At 40.9% G+C, this 27,119-nt stretch overlaps 1 protein-coding gene across 3 annotated transcripts in view, besides 3 other annotated features; it reads left to right on the forward strand.

The window, feature by feature from the left end:
* The window catches only part of POLR3B (RNA polymerase III subunit B), a 152,451-nt gene that overhangs the window by 110,243 nt on the left and 15,089 nt on the right, over positions 1–27,119 (forward strand). The gene's annotated exons all lie outside the window — the stretch shown is intronic.
* Positions 9,015–9,587: an enhancer, noted in NCBI's record as "H3K27ac-H3K4me1 hESC enhancer chr12:106870783-106871355 (GRCh37/hg19 assembly coordinates)". NCBI's record gives its function as "activates a minimal SCP1, AML or CMV promoter by ChIP-STARR-seq in naive H9 embryonic stem cells {active_cell/tissue: H9 hESC(naive)}" and the evidence as "EXISTENCE:reporter gene assay evidence [ECO:0000049][PMID:30033119]".
* Positions 22,899–23,476: an enhancer, noted in NCBI's record as "NANOG hESC enhancer chr12:106884667-106885244 (GRCh37/hg19 assembly coordinates)". NCBI's record gives its function as "activates a minimal SCP1, AML or CMV promoter by ChIP-STARR-seq in naive H9 embryonic stem cells {active_cell/tissue: H9 hESC(naive)}" and the evidence as "EXISTENCE:reporter gene assay evidence [ECO:0000049][PMID:30033119]".
* Positions 26,198–26,362: a silencer, noted in NCBI's record as "fragment chr12:106887966-106888130 (GRCh37/hg19 assembly coordinates)". NCBI's record gives its function as "represses an EF-1alpha promoter that drives an FKBP-Casp9 reporter gene in an ReSE screen in K562 erythroleukemia cells {active_cell/tissue: K562}" and the evidence as "EXISTENCE:reporter gene assay evidence [ECO:0000049][PMID:32094911]".

Raw genomic sequence — 27,119 nt, forward strand, 5'->3', positions numbered from 1 at the left:
GTTTTTCTATTGATTGGAATAGTTTCAGAAGGAATGGTATCAGCTCCTCTTTGTACCTCTGGTAGAATTTGGCTGTGAATCCGTCTGGTCCTGGACTTTTTTTGGTTGGTAGGCTATTAATTATTGCCTTAATTTCAAAACCTGTTATTGGTCTATTCAGAGATTCAACTTCTTCCTGGTTTAGTCTTGGGAGGGTGTATGTGTCCAGGAATTTATCCATCTCTTCTAGATTTTCTAGTTTATTACATAGAGGTGTTTATAATATACTCTGATGGTAGTTTGTATTTCTGTGGGATCGGTGGTGATGTCCCCTTTATCATTTTTTATTGCATCTATTTGATTCTTCTCTCTTTTCTTCGTATTAGTCTTCCTAGTGGTCTATGTATTTTGTTGATCTCTTCAGAATACCAGCTCCTGGATTTATTGATTTTTTTGACAGGTTTTTGTGTCTCTATCTCCTTCAGTTCTGCTCTGATCTTAGTTATTTCTTCTAGCTTTTGAATGTGTTTGCTCTTGCTTCTCTAGTTCTTTTAATTGTGATGTTAGGGTGTCGATTTTAGATCTCTCCTGCTTTCTCTTGTGGGCATTTAGTGCTATAAATTTCCCTCTACACACTGCTTTAAATGTGTCCCAGAGATTCTGGTATGTTGTGTCTATGTTCTCATTGGTTTCAAAGAACATCTTTATTTCTGCCTTCATTTCATTATTTACCCCATAGTCATTCAGGAGCAGGTGGTTCAGTTTCCATGAGTTGTGTGGTTTTGAGTGAGTTTCTTAATCCTGAGTTCTAATTTGATTGTGCTGTGGTCTGAGAGACAGTTTGTTGTGATTTCTGTTCTTTTACATTTGCTGAGGAGTCTTTTACTTCCAATTATGGGTCAATTTTAGAATAAGTGCGATGTGGTGCTGAGAAAAATGTATATTCTGTTGATTTGGGGTGGAGAGTTCTGTAGATGTCTATTAGGTCCATTTGGTCCAGAGCTGAGTTCAAGTCCTGGATATCCTTGTTAAGTTTCTGTCTTGTTGATCTGTCTAATATTGACAGTGGGGTGTTAAAGTCTCCCATTATTATTTTTTGGGAGCTTAAGTCTCTTTGTAGGTCTCTAAGAACTTGCTTTATGAATCTGGGTGCTCCTGTATTGGGTGCATACATATTTAGGATAGTTAGCTCTTCTTGTTGAATTAACCCCTTTACCATTATGTAATGGTCTTCTTAGTCTCTTTTGATTTTTGTTGGTTTAAAGTCTGCTTTATCAGAGACCAGGATTGCAACCCCTGCTTTTTTTTTTTTTTTTGCTTTCCATTTGCTTGGTAGATCTTCCTCCATCCCTTTATTTTGAGCCTATGTGTGTCTCTGCATGTGAGATGGGTTTCCTGAATACAGCACACTGATGGGTCTTGACTCTTTATCCAATTTGCCAGTCTGTGTCTTTTAATTGGGGCATTTAGCCCATTTACATTTAAGGTTAATATTGTTATGTGTGAATTTGATCCTGTCATTATGATGCTTGCTGGTTATTTCACCTGTTAATTGATGCAGTTTCTTCATAGCATCGATGGTCTTTACAATTTGGCATGTTTTTGCAGCGGCTGGTACCGGTTGTTCCTTTCCATGTTTAGTGCTTCCTTCAGGAGCTCTTGTAAGGCAGGCCTGGTGGTGACAAAATGTCTCAGCATTTGTTTGTCTGTAAAGGATTTTATTTCTCCTTCACTTATGAAGCTTAGTTTGGCTGGATATGAAATTCTGGGTTGAAAATTCTTTTCTTTAAGAATGTTGAATATTGGCGCCTACTCTCTTCTGGCTTGTAGGGTTTCTGCAGAGAGATCTGCTGTTAGTCTAATGGGGTTCCCTTTGTGGGTAACCCGAGCTTTCTCTCTGGCTGCCCTTAACACTTTTTCCGTCATTTCAACCTTGGTGAATCTGACAATTACATGTCTCGAGGTTGCTCTTCTCGAGGAGTATCTTTGTGGTGTTCTCTGTATTTCCTGAATTTGAATGTTGGCCTGCCTTGCTAGGTTGGGGAAGTTCTCCTGGATAATATCCTGAAGAGTGTTTCCTAACTTGGTTCCATTCTCCTCATCACTTTCAGGTACATCAATCAAACGTAGATTTGGTCTTTTCACGTAGTCGCATATTTCTTGGAGGCTTTGTTCATTTCTTTTCACTCTTTTTTCTCTAATCTTGTCTTCTTGATTTATTTCATTACTTTGATCTTCAATCACTGATATCCTTTCTTCCGCTTGATCGAATTGGCTATTGAAGCTTGTGTATGCTTCACGAAGTTCTCGTACTGTGGTTTTCAGTTACATCAGGTCATTTAAGCTCTTCTCTACACTGATTGTTCTAGTTAGCCATTCATCTAACCTTTTTTCAAGGTTTTCAGCTTCCTCGCAATGGGTTAGAACACACTCCTTTAGCTTGGAGAGGTTTGTTATTACTGACTTTCTGAAGCCTACTTCTGTCAACTCGTCAAACTCATTCTCCATCCAGTTTTGTTCCCTTGCTGGCAAGGAGTTGTGTTCCTTTGGAGGAGAAGAGGCATTCTGGTTTTTGGAATTTTCAGCCTTTCTGCTCTGGTTTCTCCCCATCTTTTTGTGGTTTTATCTACCTTTGGTCTTTGATGTTGGTGACCTATGGATGAGGTTTTGGTCTGGATGTCCTTTTTGTTGACGTTGATGCTATTCCTTTCTGTTTGTTAGTTGTCATTCTAACAGACAGGCCTGTCAGCTGCAGGTCTGTTGGAGTATGCTGGAAGTCCACTCCAGACCCTTTTTGCCTGGGTATCACCAATGGAGGCTGCAGAATAGCAAATATTGCTGCCCGATCCTTCCTCTGGAAGCTTCGTCCCAGAGGGGCACCTGCCTGTATGAGGTGTTTGTCGGCCACTACTGGGAGGTGTCTCCCAGTCAGGCTACACGGGGGTCAGGGACCTACTTGAGGAGGCAGTCTGTCCATTATCAGAGCTTGAACACCGTGCTGGGAGAACCACTGCTCTCTTCAGAGTTGTCAGGCAGTGACGTTTAAGTCTGGAGAAGCTCTCTGCTGCCTTGCCCCCAGAGGTAGAATCTAGAAAGGCAGTAAGCTTTGCTGAGCTGCGGTGGGCTCTGCCGAGTTCGAGCTTCCCTGCCGCTTTGTTTACACTGTGAACATGGAACTGCCTCCTCAAGCCTCAGCAATTGTGGATGCCCCTGCCTCTGCCACACTCCACCATCCCAGGTTGATCTCAGACTGCTGCGCTAACAGTGAGCAAGGCTCCGTGGGCATGAGACCAACCAAGCCCAGGCACAGGAGGGGATCTCCTGCTCTGCCGGTTGTGAAGACCATGGGGAAAGCACAGTATTTGGGCAGGAGTGTACCTCTTCTCCAGGTACAGTCACTCATGGCTTCCCTTGGCTAGGAAAGGGAAATCCCCCAACCCCTTGCACTTCCCAGGTGAGGTGACAACCTGCCCTGCTTCAGCTTGCCTTCCGTGAGGTGCACCCACTGTCCAGCCAGTCCCAGTGAGATGAACCAGGTACCTCAGTTGGAAATGCAGAAATCCCCTGTCTTCTGCATCAATCTCCCTGGGAGCTATAGACCAGAGCCATTCCTATTTGGCCATCTTGGATGCAGTCAGTCTCCACTAAACTTCTTGAAGGCAGAGACCATGTCCTTGTATTCTCCATAAAGCCCAGTAAGTCCTTTCTCTTAGCAGACACTTAATAGATAGTAGTTAATAGGTGAATTCACAATGTATATGAATGAATGAGTGAATGAAATTGGAGGTAGGGGAAGTGACGGAGGTAGATTCTCTACTGTTGATGGATTGATTTTATTCAGGTTTTAATCTGTCTGTTATGTGTGAGTACATGTATGTGTATAAACAAAGCAGTGCTTTTTTTTTTTTATACTTTAAGTTTTAGGGTACATGTGCACATTGTGCAGGTTAGTTACATATGTATACATGTGCCATGCTGGTGCGCTGCACCCACTAACTCGTCATCTAGCATTAGGTATATCTCCCAATGCTATCCCTCCCCCCTCCCCCTACCCCACAACAGTCCCCAGAGTGTGATATTCCCCTTCCTGTGTCCATGTGATCTCATTGTTCAATTCCCACCTATGAGTGAGAATATGCGGTGTTTGGTTTTTTGTTCTTGCGATAGTTTACTGAGAATGATGGTTTCCAATTTCATCCATGTCCCTACAAAGGACATGAACTCATCATTTTTTATGGCTGCATAGTATTCCATGGTGTATATGTGCCACATTTTCTTAATCCAGTCTATCATTGTTGGACATTTGGGTTGGTTCCAAGTCTTTGCTATTGTAAATAGTGCCACAATAAACATACGTGTGCATGTGTCTTTATAGCAGCATGATTTATAGTCATTTGGTTATATACCCAGTAATGGGATGGCTGGGTCAAATGGTATTTCTAGTTCTAGATCCCTGAGGAATCGCCACACTGACTTCCACAATGGTTGAACTAGTTTACAGTCCCACCAACAGTGTAAAAGTGTTCCTATTTCTTCACATCCTCTCCAGCACCTGTTGTTTCCTGACTTTTTAATGATTGCCATTCTAACTGGTGTGAGATGATATCTCATAGTGCTTTTGATTTGCATTTCTCTGATGGCCAGTGATGATGAGCATTTTTTCATGTGTTTTTTGGCTGCATAAATGTCTTCTTTTGAGAAGTGTCTGTTCATGTCCTTCGCCCACTTTTTGATGGGGTTGTTTGTTTTTTTCTTGTAAATTTGTTTGAGTTCATTGTAGATTCTGGATATTAGCCCTTTGTCAGATGAGTAGGTTGCGAAAATTTTCTCCCATGTTGTAGGTTGCCTGTTCACTCTGACGGTAGTTTCTTTTGCTGTGCAGAAGCTCTTTAGTTTAATGAGATCCCATTTGTCAATTTTGGCTTTTGTTGCCATTGCTTTTGGTGTTTTGGACATGAAGTCCCTGCCCACGCCTATGTCCTGAATGGTAATGCCTAGGTTTTCTTCTAGGGTTTTTATGGTTTTAGGTCTAACGTTTAAATCTTTAATCCATCTTGAATTGATTTTTGTATAAGGTGTAAGGAAGGGATCCAGTTTCAGCTTTCTACATATGGCTAGCCAGTTTTCCCAGCACCATTTATTTAATAGGGAATCCTTTCCCCATTGCTTGTTTTTCTCAGGTTTGTCAAAGATCAGATAGTTGTAGGTATGCGGCGTTATTTCTGAGGGCTCTGTTCTGTTCCATTGATCTATATCTCTGTTTTGGTACCAGTACCATGCTGTTTTGGTTACTGTAGCCTTGTAGTATAGTTTGAAGTCAGGTAGTGTGATGCCTCCAGCTTTGTTCTTTTGGCTTAGGATTGACTTGGCGATGCGGGCTCTTTTTTGGTTCCATATGAACTTTAAAGTAGTTTTTTCCAATTCTGTGAAGAAAGTCATTGGTAGCTTGATGGGGATGGCATTGAATCTGTAAATTACCTTGGGCAGTATGGCCATTTTCACGATATTGATTCTTCCTACCCATGAGCATGGAATGTTCTTCCATTTGTTTGTATCCTCTTTTATTTCCTTGAGCAGTGGTTTGTAGTTCTCCTTGAAGAGGTCCTTCACATCCCTTGTAAGTTGGATTCCTAGGTATTTTATTCTCTTTGAAGCAATTGTGAATGGGAGTTCACTCATGATTTGGCTCTCTGTTTGTCTGTTGTTGGTGTATAAGAATGCTTGTGATTTTTGTACATTGATTTTGTATCCTGAGACTTTGCTGAAGTTGCTTATCAGCTTAAGGAGATTTTGGGCTGAGATGATGGGGTTTTCTAGATAAACAATCATGTCATCTGCAAACAGGGACAATTTGACTTCCTCTTTTCCTAATTGAATACCCTTTATTTCCTTCTCCTGCGTGATTGCCCTGGCCAGAACTTCCAACACTATGTTGAATAGGAGTGGTGAGAGAGGGCATCCCTGTCCTGTGACAGTTTTCAAAGGGAATGCTTCCAGTTTTTGCCCATTCAGTATGATATTGGCTGTGGGTTTGTCATAGATAGCTCTTATTATTTTGAAATACGTCCCATCAATACCTAATTTATTGAGAGTTTTTAGCATGAAGGGTTGTTGAATTTTGTCAAAGGCTTTTTCTGCATCTATTGAGATAATCATGTGGTTTTTGTCTTTGGCTCTGTTTATATGCTGGATTACATTTATTGATTTGCGTATATTGAACCAGCCTTGCATCCCAGGGATGAAGTCCACTTGATCATGGTGGATAAGCTTTTTGATGTGCTGCTGGATTCGGTTTGCCAGTATTTTATTGAGGATTTTTGCATCAACGTTCATCAAGGATATTGGTCTAAAATTCTCTTTTTTGGTTGTGTCTCTGCCCGGCTTTGGTATCAGAATGATGCTGGCCTCATAAAATGAGTTAGGGAGGATTCCCTCTTTTTCTGTTGATTGGAATAGTTTCAGAAGGAATGGTACCAGTTCCTCCTTGTACCTCTGGTAGAATTCGGCTGTGAATCCATCTGGTCCTGGACTCTTTTTGGTTGGTAAACTATTGATTATTGCCACAATTTCAGCTCCTGTTATTGGTCTATTCAGAGATTCAACTTCTTCCTGGTTTAGTCTTGGGAGAGTGTAGGTGTCGAGGAATGTATCCATTTCTTCTAGATTTTCTAGTTTATTTGCGTAGAGGTGTTTGTAGTATTCTCTGATGGTAGTTTGTATTTCTGTGGGATCGGTGGTGATATCCCCTTTATCATTTTTTATTGTGTCTATTTGATTCTTCTCTCTTTTTTTCTTTATTAGTCTTGCTAGCGGTCTATCAATTTTGTTGATCCTTTCAAAAAACCAGCTCCTGGATCCATTGATTTTTTGAAGGGTGTTTTGTGTCTCTATTTCTTTCAGTTCTGCTCTGATTTTAGTTATTTCTTGCCTTCTGCTAGCTTTTGAATGTGTTCGCTCTTGCTTTTCTAGTTCTTTTAATTGTGATGTTAGGGTGTCAATTTTGGATCTTTCCTGCTTTCTCTTGTGGGCATTTAGTGCTATAAATTTCCCTCTACACACTGCTTTGAATGCATCCCAGAGATTCTGGTATGTTGTGTCTTTGTTCTCATTGGTTTCAAAGAACATCTTTATTTCTGCCTTCATTTCGTTATGTACCCAGTAGTCATTCAGGAGCAGGTTGTTCAGTTTCCATGTAGTTGAGCGGCTTTGAGTGAGATTCTTAATCCTGAGTTCTAGTTTGATTGCACTGTGGTCTGAGAGATAGTTTGTTATAATTTCTGTTCTTTTACATTGGCTGAGGAGAGCTTTACTTCCAACTATGTGGTCAGTTTTGGAATAGGTGTGGTGTGGTGCTGAAAAAAATGTATATTCTGTTGATTTGGGGTGGAGAGTTTTGTAGATGTCTATTAGGTCCGCTTGGTGCAGAGCTGAGTTCAATTCCTGGGTATCCTTGTTGACTTTCTGTCTCATTGATCTGTCTAATGTTGACAGTGGGGTGTTAAATTCTCCCATTATTAATGTGTGGGAGTCTAAGTCTCTTTGTAGGTCACTCAGGACTTGCTTTATGAATCTGGGTGCTCCTGTATTGGGTGCATATATATTTAGGATAGTTAGCTCCTCTTGTTGAATTGATCCCTTTACCATTATGTAATGGCCTTCTTTGTCTCTTTTGATCTTTGTTGGTTTAAAGTCTGTTTTATCAGAGACTATGATTGCAACCCCTGCCTTTTTTTGTTTTCCATTTGCTTGGTAGATCTTCCTCCATCCTTTTATTTTGAGCCTATGTGTGTCTCTGCACATGAGATGGGTTTCCTGAATACAGCACACTGATGGGTCTTGACTCTTTATCCAACTTGCCAGTCTGTGTCTTTTAATTGGAGAATTTAGTCCATTTACATTTAAAGTTAATAGTGTTATGTGTGAATTTGATCCTGTCATTATGATGTTAGCTGGTTATTTTGCTCATTAGTTGATGCAGTTTCTTCCTAGTCTCGATGGTCTTTACATTTTGGCATGATTTTGCAGCGGCTGGTACCGGTTGTTCCTTTCCATGTTTAGCACTTCCTTGAGGAGCTCTTTTAGGGCAGGCCTGGTGGTGACAAAATCTCTCAGCATTTGCTTGTCTGTAAAGTATTTTATTTCTCCTTCACTTATGAAGCTTAGTTTGGCTGGATATGAAATTCTGGGTTGAAAATTCTTTTCTTTAAGAATGTTGAATATTGGCCCCCACTCTCTTCTGGCTTGTAGGGTTTCTGCCGAGAGATCCGCTGTTAGTCTGATGGGCTTCCCTTTGAGGGTAACCCGACCTTTCTCTCTGGCTGCCCTTAACATTTTTTCCTTCATTTCAACTTTGGTGAATCTGACAATTATGTGTCTTGGAGTTGCTCTTCTCGAGGAGTATCTTTGTGGCATTCTCTGTATTTCCTGAATCTGAACGTTGGCCTGCCTTGCTAGATTGGGGAAGTTCTCCTGGATAATATCCTGCAGAGTGTTTTCCAACTTGGTTCCATTCTCCTCATCACTTTCAGGTACACCAATCAGACGTAGATTTGGTCTTTTCACATAGTCCCATATTTCTTGGAGGCTTTGCTCATTTCTTTTTATTCTTTTTTCTCTAAACTTCCCTTCTTGCTTCATTTCATTCATTTCATCTTCCATTGCTGATACCCTTTCTTCCAGTTGATCGCATCAGCTCCTGAGGCTTCTGCATTCTTCACGTAGTTCTCGAGCCTTGGTTTTCAGCTCCATCAGCTCCTTTAAGCACTTCTCTGTATTGGTTATTGTAGTTATACATTCTTCTAAATTTTTTTCAAAGTTTTCAACTTTCTTTGCCTTTGGTTTGAATGTCCTCCCGTAGCTCAGAGTAATTTGATCGTCTGAAGACTTCTTCTCTCAGCTCGTCAAAATCATTCTCCATCCAGCTTTGTTCCGTTGCTGGTGAGGAACTGCATTCCTTTGGAGGAGGAGAGGCACTCTGCGTTGTAGAGTTTCCAGTTTTTCTGTTCTGTTTTTTCCCCATCTTTGTGGTTTTATCTACTTTTGGTCTTTGATGATGGTGATGTACAGATGGGTTTTTGGTGTGGATGTCCTTTCTGTTTGTTAGTTTTCCTTCTAACAGACAGGACCCTCAGCTGCAGGTCTGTTGGAATACCCTGCCTTGTGAGGTGTCAGTGTGCCCCTGCTGGGGGGTGCCTCCCAGTTAGGCTGCTCGGGGGTCAGGGGTCAGGGACCCACTTGAGGAGGCAGTCTGCCCATTCTCAGATCTCAAGCTGCGTGCTGGGAGAACCACTGCTCTCTTCAAAGCTGTCAGACAGGGACATTTAAGTCTGCAGAGGTTACTGCTGTCTTTTTGTTTGTGCCCTGCCCCCAGAGGTGGAGCCTACAGAGGCAGGCAGGCCTCCTTGAGCTGTGGTGGGCTCCACCCAGTTCGAGCTTCCCGGCTGCTTTGTTTACCTAAGCAAGCCTGGGCAATGGCGGGCGCCCCTCCCCCAGCCTCGCTGCCGCCTTGCCGTTTGATCTCAGACTGCTGTGCTAGCAATCAGCGAGACTCCGTGGGCGTAGGACCCTCCGAGCCAGGTGTGGGATATAGTCTCGTGGTGCACCGTTTTTTAAGCCGGTCTGAAAAGCGCAATATTCAGGTGGGAGTGACCCGATTGTCCAGGTGCGTCCGTCACCCCTTTCTTTGACTCGGAAAGGGAACTCCCTGACCCCTTGTGCTTCCCAGGTGAGGCAATGCCTCACCCTGCTTCGGCTCGCGCAGGGTACGCGCACCCACTGGCCTGCGCCCACTGTCTGGCACTCCCTACTGAGATGAACCCGGTACCTCAGATGGAAATGCAGAAATCACCCGTCTTCTGCGTCGCTCACGGGCTGGGAGCTGTAGACGGGAGCTGTTCCTATTCGGCCATCTTGGCTCCTCCCCTTTTTTTTTTTTTTTTTTTTTTTTTTTTTTGGAGACAGAGCCTCACTCTGTCACCCAGGCTGGAGTGCAGTGGCTCGATCTCAGCTCAGTGCAACCTCCACCTCCCGGGTTCAAGCAATTCTTCTGCCTCAGCATCCCCCATTAGCTGGGACTACAGGTGTGTACCACCATGTCTGGCTAATTTTTAGTATTCTTAGTAGAGATGGAGTTTCACCATATTGCCCAGGCTGGTCCCAAATTCCTCAGCTCAGGCAATCCATCCACCTCAGCCTCCCAAAGTGCTGGGATTACAGACGTGAGCCACCATGCCCGGCCAAAGCAGTGCTTTTAAAAATGAAAACAACACACCTAATTAGTAAGCTCCTGAAAATACAGGCGTCTAGGTAAAACGTCAGGAAGGTCTTTGTGCTATAGCATTTTTTCAGACTGTTAATATGATTGGTATAATGTTCATTAACAGGCATGGTTTCTAATTTGCAGTGATCTGAAACAGCAGATTTTAGAGAACTGTTCATTCTTAGGGGAGCTTTGACTTGTACGTCTCTTTGCGAAACTGAAGGAGTCCTCCTGGGTCTAGCTGACCTTTCCCTTGTAGTGAGGAGTTTTGTCTTGCTACTTTTTTTTTTCCAGATGGCTTTTAATCCAAGGGTAAAAACCTTCTGATTAGCCTAGATTCCCTTGATAGTCCCTTCTCTTACAGCTTCATCAAATTTATGTTAAAGATTGGGGAAAAAACAAGCAAACAAACAAAAAGTAGGTAGTGTAAACTTTAACAGAGTAATAGAAGGATTGACATGGGACTCGTAACTGGACATAATTTTTATTTCTCTTAAGTATAATTTTATTATTAAATAATAAATGCACATGGTTTTAAAAGGTCAAACAGAACAAGAAAGGGTTCTTTGTACAAAAAAAAACCATCAGTCCTTGTCTCTCCTCCTCACCCAACTTTGGTTAGGTATAAAAGTCTAGGTTGAAAATTGTTTTCCCTAAGGATTTTGGTGGCCTTGCCACATGGTCATCTAAATTCCATGTAAATTGTAATGTCACTCTTCTTCCTCGTGTTTTTGTGCCCTGTTTCTCTTTTTCCCTCCTTACCTCCCTCCTACTTTATTCCTTTCTCTCTGGAAGCTTTTACTATCTTCTTCCCTTCTTGACATTCTGAAATTTCATAGGCTCTTCTTTCATTCCTTGTGCTGGGCAATTGGACACCGTCGCATCCTGGAGGTTTAAGTTCCTTCAGTTCTAGGACATTTTCTTATATTTATTTAGTTAATAATTTCCTCTTCCTCATTTTCCCCATACCCTTTCTGGTTTTCTTAGTGATCAAATATTGGGACTTCCAGATTGATGCTCTAGTTTTCTTATCTTTTTGCCTTCTTGTTTTTCTTTTTAGGAGATTTGATCAACGTTATTTTTCAGATTTTTTTAAACCTATCATATTTTAAATTTCTAATTAAATGTTTAAAGTTAATTTATATTCTTTCTCTCTCTCTTTTTTTTTTTTGAGACAGAGTCTTGCTGTGTCGCCCGGGCTGGAGTGCAGTGGCGCAATCTTGGCTCACTGCAAGCTCTGCCTCCTGGGTTCATGCCATTCTCCTGCCTCAGCCTCCCGAGTAGCTGGGACTACAGGTGCCCGCCACCATGCCTAGCTAATTTTTTGTATTTTTTTTAGTAGAGATGGGGTTTCACTGTGTTAGCCAGGATGGTCTCGATCTCCTGACCTCGTGATCCACCTGCCTCGGCCTCCCAAAGTGCTGGGATTACAGGCGTGAGCCAGCGCACCCAGCCTATTCTTTCTCTTATAGCAAGAAGTATGTATTTTTAGTTTTCTTTGAGTTTTAGTTTTTTGGTTTTTCTTTTTTTCTTTTTAGTTTTCTTCTGTTTCTAATTTTCTTTCCTTCCTTCTTTTCTTTTCTTTTCTTTTCTTTTCTTTTCACAGTATCTTGCTCTGCTCTGTCACCCAGGCTGGAGTACAGTGGCACAATCACAGCTCACTGCATCCTCAACCTCCTGGGCTCAAGCGATCCTTCCATCTCAGCCTCCTGAGTAGCTGCACTACAGGCATGCACCACCATGCCTGGCTAATTTTTGTTTTTTGTTTTTGGGTTTTTTTTTTGGCTTTTTTTATTATTATTATTTGTAGAGACTAGGTATTGCCATATTACCCAGGCTGGTCTCGAACTTCTAGGATCAAGTGATCCACCTGCCTCAGCTTCCCAAAATGGCATTTGAACCTTGGGATTACAGGTGTGAGATTACAGGTGTGAGCCACTGTGCCTGGCTGTTTCTATCTCTCGATAGGATTTTCCTCTCCTATTTGTTTTAGTGTCTGATTTGTTGTTGTTGGAGGCTTTCCTCTAATACCTGGTATACCCCTGAACCCTAGAAAGCATTTCAAAGCTCTGTGTCCCATGGATAGAACTTGTTGACTAGTGAATATCATTGCTGGGTGGTCAGGTAGTGAACTACTTTATTGTTGTGCCATTCAGTTTCAACATACTAGGATCTTTCTAACTCCTGCCTGAAGGTTGGAGCTGGGAATGAGGGTGGGGCAGTGCTTAAGGCTGTCAGCTGACCTCCAGGAGTCAGGCAGGGGCAGGGACTGGAGCTTACTCTTCAGTGCATAGACTTTAATTCCTCTGTATCAGGCTTTTGACCAGCCCACCCTCTGCTGCGCTTGCTACCCTTGGGTCTCAGATCAAGTACTCAAGTGATGGTTACTCAGGTAAGGGTTAGGGGAGAAGTGTAGTTTCCTGGCTGTATGGACTAGGGAATACAGAGAACTGACAATTTCTTATATAGACATTTATTTATACAAATATTTGTTAAGTATCTTCTGCGTGTCTGGTACTATTCTAGGCTCTGGTCACAAGCAGTAAACAAAATAGATTAAAGTTCCAACCCTTGCGGGGCTTGTGTTCTTGTGGGCAAGAAGGAAAATAGTAAGTGCTGAGGGAATGATATGTCGTGAGATGAGAAAAGATTGAAAGCTGGGAGGGGGGATGGGAAGCATGTGAGGGGAGGGCGTGTGGTTAGTGATTCAAAGTTTAGGCAGAGTGGTTGGGGAACAACACCATGTTGAAAAGATGGCATTGAGTAAAGATCTGAGAGAAGTAAGAGGGTGAGCCCTCTCTGGCTGAAGAGCATTTGAGGTGAAGGTTTTGCAGCTGTAGCTCACCTAATAGAAGACCAGCAAGGAGGCCCCATAGCTGGAGCAGAGTGAGAAGTGAGGAGGCAGCCATGAGGCTCATAGGTCACTGCAGGAACTTTGGCTTTTATTCTGAGGGAGAGGGAAGCCACTGGAGAGGGGTTTGAGCTGGTGAGAGAGATGATCTGACTGACACTGGCTGCTGTGTTGAAAGAAACTGCAGTGGTGCCAGTTCAGAAGCTATGTGAGAGTTGGAGGTGGGCTGGAAAAGCATAACGATGAGGAATTGGTGAGAAGGGATCAGAGTCTGGACACATTTTGAAAGTAGAGCCTCCTGGAATTGCTGATGGATTGGGCGGCTTTGACTCAGTCTTCTTGCTTTCAGCTTCGCTCCTCACGCTGCCTTTTGCAATACTAGTACTTCGTGTCTCTGTCTTCTGAGCCTTCCCAGGAATCGGGTGGGTGAGTGGGGGTGGCACCAAAGGCCATGTCAGCTCACCTCTTCACATCTCATCTGCAGGGACTTAGTATTACTCTCCTGTTACTTTTCTTTCCTCTCTTTATCAGCTTTCAAAGTTGTAGAATTATCTCATGCCCACTGATACCACTGTGCCCATTCTTTCTCCTTACACGTAGGTTTACACCTTAATTTTTTTAAACTCAGTGAAGTTTAGAGAAGCAGTGTTGATAAACACATGTGTTTCATCTGTCATGTTTAACTAGAAATCTGTTTATTATTTGTGAATATTCAGCACAAGAATGTTTAGTGAGTATGCTTGATTTTTTTCAATGCAACTTATAGAACTGAAAATTATTTTAATAAAAAATGAGAAGGATTTTTAGAGCACTAACCTTTTGTTTCCTGACCAGAGCCTTGCCTCTAAGACTTCTTGGGTTTGTTTGTTTGTTTGTTTTTGTCTATTTTAATCAATTCTCAGATTGAAAATTAATTTTAAAATGTTTAAAGCTCACACCCTGAGAATTATTACATAAATGCTAACAATCATCAGAGAAGCATTAATCATAGTTTGTCAGCTCTTATCTGAAAATAATTTATCTTTCTTCTGGATCATTGTTGTAACTAAGGTCTACAACTTTGGTCCTCTTCTTGAATGTCACCCATCTGAAGCCAGAGGCATGACAGTAGTAAAAGTCTATTTTTTGAAGTTTTATAAATAAAATTCTAAAGATTCAAAGATACCAATAGTTTTTTTAAAAAATAATTGTATATGTTGTTAAATATCCAGAATACCTTGTTGGCTAACTTAGTGTGTTATTCCATTCTCACACTGCTATAAAGAAATACCTCAGACTGGATAATTTATAAAGAAAAGAGGTTTAACTGGCTCACAACTCTGCAGGCTGTACAGGAAGCATGGCTAGGGAGGCCTCAGGAAAGTTACAATCATGGCAGAAGGCAAAGGGGAAGCAGGCACATCTTACACGGCCAGAGCAGGAGGAAGAGAGAGAAGGGGGAGGTGCTACACACTTTAAAACAACCAGTTCCTGTGAGAACTCACTCACTATCATGAGAACAGCGAGGGGGGAATCCACCTCATGATCCAATCTCCTCCCACCAGGTTCTTCCTCCAACACTGGGGATTTGACACGAGATTTGGGTGGGGACACAAATCTAAACCATATCACTTAGGTAAGTATATTTTAGGTTCGTTGAGATTAGGAAACATGCCCTGCTGATTTACTTAACCCCAAAGCACCCAGCATAGCACTTTGCATATAATATGGTATCCACTTATGATGTTTGAGGAATCCTTTATTAAATAAAGGATTTTACATATTCATTGGTCTTGTTGGAAATTGTACTGACATAACAAGCCAAACTCACTACTCCCAGAATAAGTGTAATTTATTCTTCCTAGTAAATATCAGAAATGAGATGCCTCATTTTTATCTAAACTGGCACCAGGAGTTTCAACACCTAAGACTCATAGCTCCCCAACCCTAACTGATCACACAGGCCCACTAAAGCTTCTTCAGCCATAATAACTAAATATAGTTATCCCTCAGTATATGCTGGGAATTGGTTCCAGGACCCCTGCATATATTCAAGTCCCACAGTTGGGCCTGTAAAACCCAAATATATGAAAAGTTGTCCCTCTGTGGAGAAGGGCTCACATTCCGCAAATGCTGTATTTTCGATTCATATCTCATTGAAGAAAAATCCCCATATAAGTGGACCTGCACAGTTAAGACCTGTGTTATTCAAGGGTCAACTGTATACATGCCCACCCACGTCCATCCCAGGCACAAATGAGAACCTGCCTTGACAGCCCCAGGGAAACCTATTCGGTCATTTTTAAGTTACTGTTGTGGGCTCAAAACTGTGTGGGGCACTTTAGGGGATAGAAAGTAAATTAATCCCTTGACTAATGCCCATGAGGAGTTGACTGACACCTGAAGCAAAAAGATGGATACGAAGGATTACATAGTTAAATGCTAAATTATATGGGAGAAACCACTAAAAATATAGAGGTTTAGAGTTTACCATAGATAGGAATAGAATCTTAGAGTTTGAAAAGTCCTTTTAGAAGTCCAGTCTAAATCCATCTTCTAGTATAAGAGTTCTTTTTAGATTATCTTTGGCAGATGGTTTTCCATGTTGATTGTGGCCTGTGAAGGGAGGCCCTTGCTATTTTCTGAGGCAGCCTCTTCTGTAGTAGCACTGCTCTGATAGTTTTCTTGAGTCAGAGGTGCTCAAGAGTTAGTAAGAGTGCTCAAGAGTCTATAAGTTACTGCAGTTAGTCCTGCCTTGTCTTGTGGGCCATACTGAATGAACATATTGCCTTTTCATCACAGCCATCCTCTGTTCAGTATTTAAAGAAAGCCCTCGGATTGACGAAAAGTATAGCAGAGAGAGAAAGGTCTTGAACTCCAACTAGGTGAACTATTTTGTCCCTTTATGTCTTGGCCTCCTTGATACTAATGTGTAAAAGCAGGGAACACAGTGCCTGATGCACAGACAGGAGGCAGTAAAGGTGAGCTGCGGGCAGGTCTGTCTTGGGTCTTCTCTTGCAGGCTGCCTGGTAAAGGAAGCCCTCAGAGACTAGATGGGGTTCAGGCTTAGAGGGCTTTGATAAAGATGTGAAAGAAAAACAGGGGGCAGCAGAGAAGAGCAAATGAATGGACTTGACTGACTGAAATAAAGACAGCATAAAGAAGAAAAACCACGGGGACTGTGGTTTTAATCCGGTAAACGATGGCACCAATCACAAAGCATTTGTGTCTCACTGACTTGAGATGGTGAGATGATGGAAGATCATCTCGAGTGCCTATATTGTTGATTAATTCATCCATTTATTGAGCTTTCACTGTGTGCCAAGCACTGTTCTAAATACTGGAAATACAGAGGTAAACAAGACTGATGGGGTCTCTGTTCTCCCGGGATTTGTGTTCTCCTTGGGGAGGAAACAGACAAAAAAGAAGTAAACAAAAATATAAACCCCAACTACTTAGTAGGCTGAGGCAGGAGGATCACTTGAGCCCAGGAGTTTGAGACCAGCCTGGGCAGTATAGCAAGACTCCATTTCAAGAAAAAAAAGTGTAAACAAAAATATAAACAGGATAATTGAAGGTAATGATAAGTGCCATATATGAAGAATGATATAAAAGAGTGGATGGTTTAGAGGTGGGGGTGTGTACTTTAGATTACGATCAGGAACAGCCTCTCGGAGGAAGCGACATTGAGCTGAGACACGAAGGATACAAAGGAGCCAGCCGAGCAAAAGTCTGGGAGGATTTAGTTATAGGCAGAGAGAATCATTAGGGTAAGAGTTCTGAGGCACGAATAAGCTTGGTATATTCAAGGAACAGAAAAAAGGCCAGTCTGGCCAGGCATATGCCTGACAAGCAGCACAGTATGAGACTTGGGGAGTGACAGAAGGATGATGGGGGCATATCCTATAGGGCCTTTTGGCTAAAAGAAAGGAGATTGGACTTTACTCCAGATATGCTGGGAACCAACAGAACCGTTGGATGGTGGGTGTCTTGGTCCATTTTCTGCTGCTATGACAAAATACCACTGACTGGATAATTTATAAAGAAAAGAAGTTTATTTGGCTTATGGTTCTAAAGACTTGGAAGTGGAGGAGCGTGGCACCAGCATCTGGAGAGGATCATCCCGTGGCAGACAGGCAGAGGGGCAGGAGAGCTTGCTTTTATAACCAAACCAGTCCTGAGATAAGTAACCCAAGTCTGTAATAATGGCATTAATCCATTCATGGGAATGGAGTCCTTATGACCTAACCACCTCTTAAAGGCCCCATATCAATTAAATCTCAACATGAGTTTTTGTGGGTACATACAAACCATAAAAATGAATATAAGCAAAGGAGTGACGAGATCTAACTTACAACTTCTAGAGCTCACTGTGGATTCTATATGAAAAGTGGATTGGAACGGGCAAGGAAGGGGGCAGGGAGACCATTGCAGTGGTCCAGGCAAGAAAGGGTGGTGGCTTGGACTAGGACAGCAGCAGTGGAAAAATAGAGAGAAGTGACTGGATTCTGGACATACTCTGGAGATAGAGCCAACAGGACTTGCTTATGGCTTGGATGGATGTTGCAAGAGGAAAAGACAGGAGTTGAGGATGAAGTTTGTGGCCTGAGCAACTGATAATGCTGTTTACCAAGATGGGAGCAATTGGGTAAAGAATAGTTTTTTGGCATTAGACAAGGGCAGAGGTTGAGAGTTTGGGCCTCAGGTTGAGATGATTAGACTCCAAGTGAAGATATAGGCTGGCAATTGGTTATAGAGTCTAGAGCTCCAGGGAGAGATTTGGGCTAGAGAAAAAATTGAGGAATCATTTGCATGCTGTTTATCTCCACATTTATAGTATTTTACTTTTTGTGTATTGATCATTTATAAGCACTTTTATCTATATTTCATCCTTTAACTGGTACAGTTCCAGTTTGTGTTGTTATTCCTACTATAAAGAGTAAGGAGATTGGCCAGGCGCGGTGGCTCACGCCTGTAATCCCAGCACTTTGGGAGGCCGAGGCGGGCAGATCACGAGGTCAAGAGATCGAGACCGTCCTGGCTAACATGGTGAAACCCCATCTCTACTAAAAATACAAAAAATTAGTTGGGCGTGATGGCAGGTGCCTGTAGTCCCAGCTACTCGGGAGACTGAGGCAGGAGAATGATGTGAACCTGGGAGGCGGAGCTTGCAGCGAGCCTAGATTGGGCCACTGCACTCCAGCCTGGGGTCAGAGGGAGACTCCGTCTCAAAAAAAAAAAAAAAAAAAAAAAAAAAAGAGTAAGGAGATTGAGGTTCAGGGGAGGTGAGTAGCATGCCTCCTACAGCTTGGTGCTGGCAGAGCCCACATTTGAATCCAGGATTTTGATTCCAAGCATATGGCTCATTTGGTTAAATCTGGTTAAAGGTGGCTCTTTTCTCTTCTTGTATCTTACTCTGCTCCTGAGATTGCCATATTCCCAGAGATTTCTCGTTGGAAAGACACTACCTTTTCTGAGGATGAATCCTGCTGTTTTTTAGTATTATTTTCTGTCTCCTCCTTAAGATGGGCATCTTCTCAAAATTCCCATTCTTCCTGGATAAGCAGCTTTACAGCTGCCACAAATCCAGAATAAATACTACCCTCATACAGCATGTCGCACAAATGCCTGCCAAAGCCCCATATTAAGATGTACTCCTAAAATAAAGCTGTATTTTCTGGTGTCCCTTTCCTTCTAAAATCAGCTTATTGTAAAACACTATCCCCACTCCCTTCTTTAACGGGTCCTCTGGTCAGGCTTTAGTGGCCTTGTGTAAAATTCAGAATCTATCAGGATTTCAAACAGATGTAAAAGGAAGTAAATTTCTGAGCCCTCAACTTTGACAGTTCTCCCAATTTATTTGGCTAGATGTGACAGTAAAAGCCACAAAAAGAGGGCACTTGAAGAAAATGTTTTGGCCACAGTGTTTACAGTTAGTGCACTTGGAACCTTCACATGCCAGGCACAGATGGCAGGTGTCTGTAAGGAGCCACACAATAACCCAGCGCTTAGTGTGGGCCCTAAGGGGGACTGCATCAGGCCTAAAGGAGTTGGATATTGGCAAGTAAAATGTGAGTGAAACAGAAAATGTAGTCCACAACATCAGTTATGCTATTTGTAGTTGTCATGAAATGAGCTGATAAAAATTTCAAAGTGTTGAGTTTTCAGGGTATATGTGTCACACCACGATTCCTGCAGAGGTTTGTTTGTTTGTTTGTTTCTGTTTTGGTCCAGATACATGCCAGAATAAGAGCAGTGGTTAGTTGAACTTAGTTTTTAATCCTGAGATGTAGAATTGTTTGGAAATCCTGTTTTTTCTTTTGTAGTATCTCCTGCAAGTTGACACATACATATTATCTATGAGAAAATTTAAAAATTCTTTTGATTTAGTATACCTTTGTGCATATTATTTTTCTCTCTCCATTTAGAGCATTAAATGTATTGTTCTGGGTGTTCAGAAAGTAACATGGCCCTGCAGATTGTCTGATTTTTGTCTTTTCTTAAAAGCTTACTTCGACAAAGCTGTTGTTAGGGATTCTTTCTGTATATGAATTGTGTGTAGATCACATTTCGGTGCCCAATGCCTCTTCAGATATCCTAACAATTAAAGGAGACTTGAAAATTTAGTTTCACAGAACATGTGCATCTGTCCCGCTCAAGCCTGATCGCTTCAAAGGTGGTAGGATAATTAGTAGCTAAATGAAACAAACATAAAGAGGAAGCGGAACAGTGGTAGTTATGTGCTGCATGTGATCACAGAGCTCATGGAGAAGACTGAAGGGGGCAGAATGCGTGGGTCAGCTGGAATAAGCGAGTCAATACTGAGTAGTTGGGAATCAACATCAGTGCTGCATGATAAGCAAAGATTGAATGCAGTTGGTCAGAGGAGGCCCACTGGAGAAGTGAAAATGTTTTATCAGATACAGAGGTGACAGACCCAATAAGCAACATCACCTTCTGTAACCTCAAAAGTGGAGGAGGACTAAGCAGAGAACCAAGTAATGAGGAACCATGTTTTGTAAAGAAGGTGGCATCACAATTAACATAGACTACTGTGGGCTCAGAAGCAGGCAGGATTCACTCACAGTGTACTTTTTAGATGAGGACATTTCAATACAGTCTTCTACTGAGACATTCAAAGAATCTTAATGAAGTACAACCTTCCTTTGGGCATTGTGAGGTCAGTTATATATCTTATCAGTAAATGTGCAGTGAGTCTGCATCCCCCCAAAAGAGCTGGACCTTTGATTAAGAATCTCTAGAGCCGTTCATCCTTTAGTAGTATGCAAAATGCTGGCCAAGGTGAAATGATTTAGTAATAACCTTCTATACATCAAAGTTGTGAATTTGTCTTTTGTTTATTTATGAAGGCAGGAAAGTTTAGTTTTGTTTTAAATTCATTTGGGGAGAAATATGTAAACCCTGAAGTCTTGAGCTCATTTCCCAAGTGGTCTAGACTTCTAGGTATTTTCGAGTGAAGCCATGACTTATCTGGTTGAGGCATAATGATGTTCCAAAGGGAAAACAGAGCTGAACATGGGTGTGGAATGTTCTATGTGTTGCTGTATATTCTAATCATTTTTATAGATAAAGATAGGAAGAGACATTCACATATGCTGATTGAAATTATGTTTGGAATTAGACTTTCTATTAAAATCAAAATAACACATGTAAGCCTCTTCAACTGTGTTATAAATTCTAATGGAGGGAACTCATCAAGGGCAAATATTTTTATCTTGAGCCTTGTTTTCTCTGATGATTAGTGCATTTATTAGAAGATTAACTACTCCTTTTAAAAAAAATCTTTAACAAAAATTATCTGACAGCCCAAGGAATTCTCAAGTTCCATTTCAGTGTTCAGGCAAACCAAATTATTATATTTCCAGATTTCCTCTTCTTTTGCTGCCATTCACAATGAAGGAGGAAAAAGCGGACTCCTTTGATGTGGAGAGAAAAAAAAAGCAATATATCACTTCCCTGAAAGAACATTTCTCAGTCTCTCATGTGAAAAAGGATTAGCACCTCCAACAAAGGTCCTGTGGATCACAGCATCGGGCAGCAATACCAAGCAGTACTCCTAAGGAGAGGAAAAACTGTATTTGAGCAAGAGTGTTTGTCCTGGCAAATAGAAGCTTTTTAATAACTGCAAATCTGAGATAATGGCATACGCTCCCTAAATCCTTAAGGACCAGACAGCTAGTTTAAATGGAGTGAAGTCAACTTTTGTTTTACAATAGAAGTCTAGTCTTATCAAAATATAGTTTTTTCACTTAATGGTTTAGTCTGCCTATCTGTGGTTGATAAGGATTATGCGTATATGGATAAAATCGTTTGGAAGATTCATCATTGACCCTCTCTTATACAAGAAAAGTTCCATTATAAGGTCACTTGCTTCCATTTTGCACTAATAAGTTATTCAATAACCTGCAGAATTAATTTATTAAGATTTTGATTGAATGTTTCTTAGAAGAAAAGAAAACCTGCCCTGACTTTCCAACACATTAAAGAATCTTTTTACAGTAGATATAAAGAGGCTTGTGGGAAGTAAGAAAATGGTAATTCATGTGTGATAGAAAAGCCAAGGAGAAAGTTTATCTGTTAAACAAGGTTTGGTTTTGCTAGACCTTCATTTGTTAGTCCTTTTTTCTGTATTATGCTTTCTAAAATTGAGACAGTGAAAAGAACCTGATTTAAAGTAATAATAATAACACCTTGTACTCGTGTAGTACTTGAGACTGTCTAAAATCCTCTCTGCAAGTCCACAGCTTTAAACAGTCTGGATAGCTTTGGCTGTCTGCTTTGCTTGATCCTGCTTGAATGGAAGTTTCTAAGTGGGAGGGGAGAAGGAGGCTGGTAGGGCTATCCGTATGAGCCCCATCATAAGGTGTATGATGCCAAATGATCCATCAGAGTTTCAGTCCAAAACCAAAACTCCAGCAGCTCTTACTTTAATGTTATTAAATCAGGGTTTCTTCGTCCACACAGATACCTTATTGGAAGAAGATTTTATGGAATTGACTTTTTTAGGAACAAATTTTGGTCTTCAGTAGCTCGCCAGTAACCCTCTGACCTTTCAGTAAATATCCAACTAAAGCTTTGAAATTAGGGTATTTAGTGTTTTATGGCCCAGAATAAAAATCTCCAATTCTGTTTCCAAATAGTGTAGCCTCAACACATTTTATTAAGCTCTTGACACATTCAGCCGTGTGTATTTTGTAAAGTTCCTATGGTTATTGTTTTACAATAGTTGCTTGCAAAAGCATTGTAAGGGTTTCAATTAATCAGCCCTTTGTGCGCTTCAGACTATGCAAATTTATCACATCAAACCATTCAACTGCTCATGGGAAAGCCGTGTAAAAACTGTATTGTCTTCTAGCGCCTCCTCTCATTTAGAGTGATGTTTTAATAAGAAAGCTAATCAAGTTTTCTTATGCATTATTTATCTGTTAACATGTAAGGAAGAGCCGAATTAAAATTATGTCAACCGGTATATGGCAAGTGATGTGATAGATCTGGAAATGATTCAACAACAGAACAAAGCCAATATGATTCAACAGTTTTTGTCTACTCCCCTCCCTCTGGGGATTATTTAAGGTGGTGGTGTGAAAAATAAAAGGAGGTTAATTCGATAGCTGGAAAAGGGGAGGGGAAGAACGGAATAACCACCTGTGTTAGCCTTAACATTTTGATTTAGAGATTTCATTTCTGAATGTATAAAGGCTCATTGAGATGAGTTTACTCAAAGCAAACCATGTCTTAATAGGAACAGTCAAACTTGAAAGCATTCCTACTGCTTCTTTGGCCCCATTTACCACCATATTCATCAGCAGTAAACTATTCCCCAATAGATATCTGCAACCCCAGGCCTCGTGAAAGTTATCAGGAGACAGTGTCTTGATGATGTTAAATGACCTGCACAACCCAGGAAGGAATGAGCTGCTTTTCTGCCTCTCCAGCCAAAGTTAGTGCAACTGCAACTGCTCCTTCTATTCATTAAGTTGGTCTCCTTTGCTTTGCTAGTTTGCTTCCTGCTGAGAGTAATTAGGTTTCTTATATAATAATAATTCCTTGTATTTAGATGCAGCCTTTCTCTAAGGACCTTAAAGTACCTCTCAGACATTAGCTCATCTGTTCTTCTAACACAATTGCTTCATGAGATAGGTGCTAATTATTCCCGTTACAAAGAGCAAACAACTAAGGCTCACCAGAAAGTGGTGCTTCCCCCGCACCCCCAAAGTAACATATCAGTGGAACAGCATTGAGTCAAATTAAAGTCACCCAATTCCTCGATTCACCTGCTCTACATAGGTCTAAGAGTCCAAGGGGTGATGAATTTTTTACAGACGGCATTTCCCCCACATTTATAAACCTCACTAATACTGGGCACTGGTTGAGTGTTCATCCCTTACTAAACACAGCTCTCTTCTTGCACTGTGACTGATGGAGAAAAACCACAGCATCATTTCACCATTCAGTGTAAGGAGTGTAAAACTGTGCAGAATAAATAGCCTTGTCCAACTGCTGAGTATCTGCAGAAAGTAAAAGGAGGTAATTTAGACTTTGATTAGGATTATTTCAGCAGACCATCCTGCCAGATGTGCTCCACATCATTTAGAGCATTAGAAAGTGGCAAGCTGAATTGTATAAATGTATGCAATATATTTACGAAGTTTTCAATATTCACTCAGATGACTTGACATAAGCTACCTCCGCCTATCTGGAGTTGGGGCCCTGAACCTCTACTTCCCCAGCAATTGAGGGAAATGATTCTTTTTCTCTTTCCTCACTCAGAAAAGGAAGAGTAATAATATATATTAACCTCAGAGGGGTAAATTTAATTCAAATGTGATTACACTTAGAAGGTAGACTTGCTAAATAAAAATGTAAAAATTAAAGCAGACTGTAATATTAAAATGAGAACTGGCCATCAGCAAAATTGAAACAATCTTCTAGTCAGGTCTCAACACACTGAAGTCACATCAAAAACATCTCTTGAATTAGAGATGGCATTACAGTTGTCTTCTGCAGTTGCCATTTGCTTTCCTGTCTTCATATGCTACTAGAATGTGTTAATTTTTCTTACCATTTTTTTCTTCTTTTCTTACCTTTTTTTTTCCTGCTTAAGATAGTCCATTACACAGAGACAGTACACTAAAACCAGTATTTTTTAAAGGCCAAAAATGACTTGAATATGTCAGTTGCTGTTTAGAATTAGGAATACTTTTTAAGCCAGGCATGGTGGCTCACACCTTTAATCCCAGCCCTTTGACTTGAGTCCAGGAACTTGAGACCAGCCTGGGCAACATAGTGAGACCTCATCTCTACAAAAAAAAAAATTAAAAATTAGCTGGACGTGGTGGCACGCAGCTGGATGTGGTAGTCCCAGCTACTAGGGAGGCTGAAGTGGAAAGATCACTTGAGTGAGCCATGATTGTGCCACTGCACTCCAGCCTGGACAAGAGAGTGAGACCCTGTCTAAGAAAAGAAAAAATGAGTATGTTTAAAGACAACCAGATGATTCCTGAGATTAACTTGACTTTTCCTGAGCAAGCCTATTCTTAAATGATTTCTATGTTGTTCTGTGAAGCCTTGGAAATAGAAATAACAAATTGGTGTAGGAGCCAGCAGTGTCTGAAGCATGATACAGAGAGCTGTGATAGTGGATGTCAGAAGTGCCTCTCCTGAGTGGATCGGCAGTCAGATTTAGACTCCCTCAATTCTTCCCCTTTACAACTAGAAATTAAGATGGATGGTGATGGAATAATATTTTGTCGATTGGGGTATTGGCAGTCCCTTTCTGCTCTAACTTTCTGTGATTCTATTTTTTTTTCTTACTATTTGCATTTGTTAAAAGTTCTATACTGTAGTCTGTGGTCCAATTCCCATTTGGCCCTCCTGAGTGCATTAAATGTTCCTGAGCATGTTAAACTGGTGTATTTGCATTTTATTGCTGGGAGGCTGTGCTGTAAACAATGGGGTTGAGACACCAGCTTGAGCCAGGGGATGAAATTTTATTTTAAAATCTGAAATGCTGTGTAAGCATTTAAGGTATGAATTGGTAATTGTTTCACAACAGCTTCCATTAGATATGGTTTATTTGTAGTCCATCCTCTTTTCAAGGATCCAGGGGAGTGTTAACACATTGAAGCGCACCGCATATCATTTACATTTTAAACCAGTGTTAAGGGAAAATGACCATAACTTTTAAGACTTCTAAATATTGGAATGGACTTTATGCCTCTGTCCCTGGAGAAAACAGTTTTAATCTTTCATTTGAAAATAAGAAAAGAAACCTTCCCGCTGTGATTAAGGATTTGAATAATTCTGAAACAGAGAAATACTGTTAGAAAAAGATAAGTCTGGTTCTAAGATTGAGAACTCTCTTTCTACCCCTAATGAATTCAGTAAAATACAAACTTTTAAAAATCATCTGTCTAATTTGAGATTCGAGATCATCAAATTCTGTCTAAATATTTTGTTTTAACTTCTAAGCTCATTATGGTCTCTTTGTGTTAACTTGTATTAAAATCTGTCAGCTATGACTGGTCTCATAAGCACAGTCAGCGGACCAGAATAAGTTAATTATTTACTTGTGTCACTAGTGCTCTTCATCTAATGAAATGCACAGCTGTGTTAGATCTGCAGTTGGATGTGTAGCTTCCATTGTTCCGCAAGTCAGCAGAGGGTAGAAGCCGCAATGATGGAGAGCCCTCAGTTCTTTCTGCTGTTCTGGCTTTCTGTGTCGATTTCATGGATCTTTTATCATTCACTTTCACACAAAACAAACAACACAGGGCTGTCTGCTATGGGAACCATCTTGGCATATAAAAGGGTTTTCAGGGCCTGAAGTAATTTTAAGTCAGCTAAGATTTAATTTTTGACTTACAGGTGCCCTTGGTTCAGATATTGCCAAAGCAGTTCCTATAATGGAAGGAAAAAAATCCGAAAGCTGCTTATGTGTATTTTTTTTAACTAAATGTCAGAAGAGGGCTGATAAGAAAACAACTTCCCCAGAAGGAAGCTCTGCACTAAATATTCTTAATCAGATTTCAAGCAAAGGTATTAGAGATTCACATTTCAGTGGAACGAGCACTTTTTTCATTTTAATAACATAATAAAGTTGAATTTGCTTAATTAAATGTGTCGATTAAAACTGAAAACACAAAATGTAAGTCATCTCTCTCCTTACCCACCCCCAATATAAGTATGTCATGCTTCCTTGGTCAGTTTCTGCACCTCCTGCCCCTCTCTCCCACCTTCTCTTGATGGAGGGTGGACAGGCAGCTTCCTCCTGAGCAGACGCCAGCCTCCTCCTGCGAACTGCTGCTTAAGGGGTGCCGAGATTTCTCTTTGGTTTTGTTTTTTCAGGGGTATAGCTGAACCCTCCATCTCCTCACCAGCCAAAATTACATTCTCCCCCGAGCTCGTCCCAGAACCGGCCCCTTTAGGGATTGCCATTTTTAACATTTTGTTCACTGCTGAACAATGTTGTTGTCGGTGCACCTAGATTTACAATTTGATCTCTTTCAAAGTAGATTTCCCAGTAGCCCTAGGGTTTTGTCAGATAATTTCAGTGTGGATAAGATGGATTTTTGGAGGGAAGAAAGAAGGCTCACACACTCTGCTTGATTGAAATTCTAACACATTGTAGCTGAATTTGAAATAAAGTGAACTGAATGATTGTTTCTGTTCTTCATGTAGGAAAGCATATATTTATAATAAACAATACCATTTTAACCCAAAAGCCAATTTAAACTAACTACATGCTCTAGAATTCAACTCCACAATATCCATATTGTTGTCAGCTACAATAAATCAGAATATTAATAACCAGTATTACCTAGGAAAATGGCATTCTTTTTCTTTTGACTTTAGCTCCTGGTGATTACAACAAATCGCAAACTATTGAAATAGTTTGAATAATTACATAGAATCAAATTGAATGAAATATTTGAGAGCAGTTTCTTTGCAATAGGGGCAGATAGTTAATAACTTTATACACAGAGAAAAGGAATTTTATCTTTTACTACCAATGTAAAAGTGTTTGTTTTC

Source organism: Homo sapiens, chromosome 12, assembly GCF_000001405.40.
Source record: "Homo sapiens chromosome 12, GRCh38.p14 Primary Assembly".
Taxonomy (NCBI): domain Eukaryota; kingdom Metazoa; phylum Chordata; class Mammalia; order Primates; family Hominidae; genus Homo; species Homo sapiens.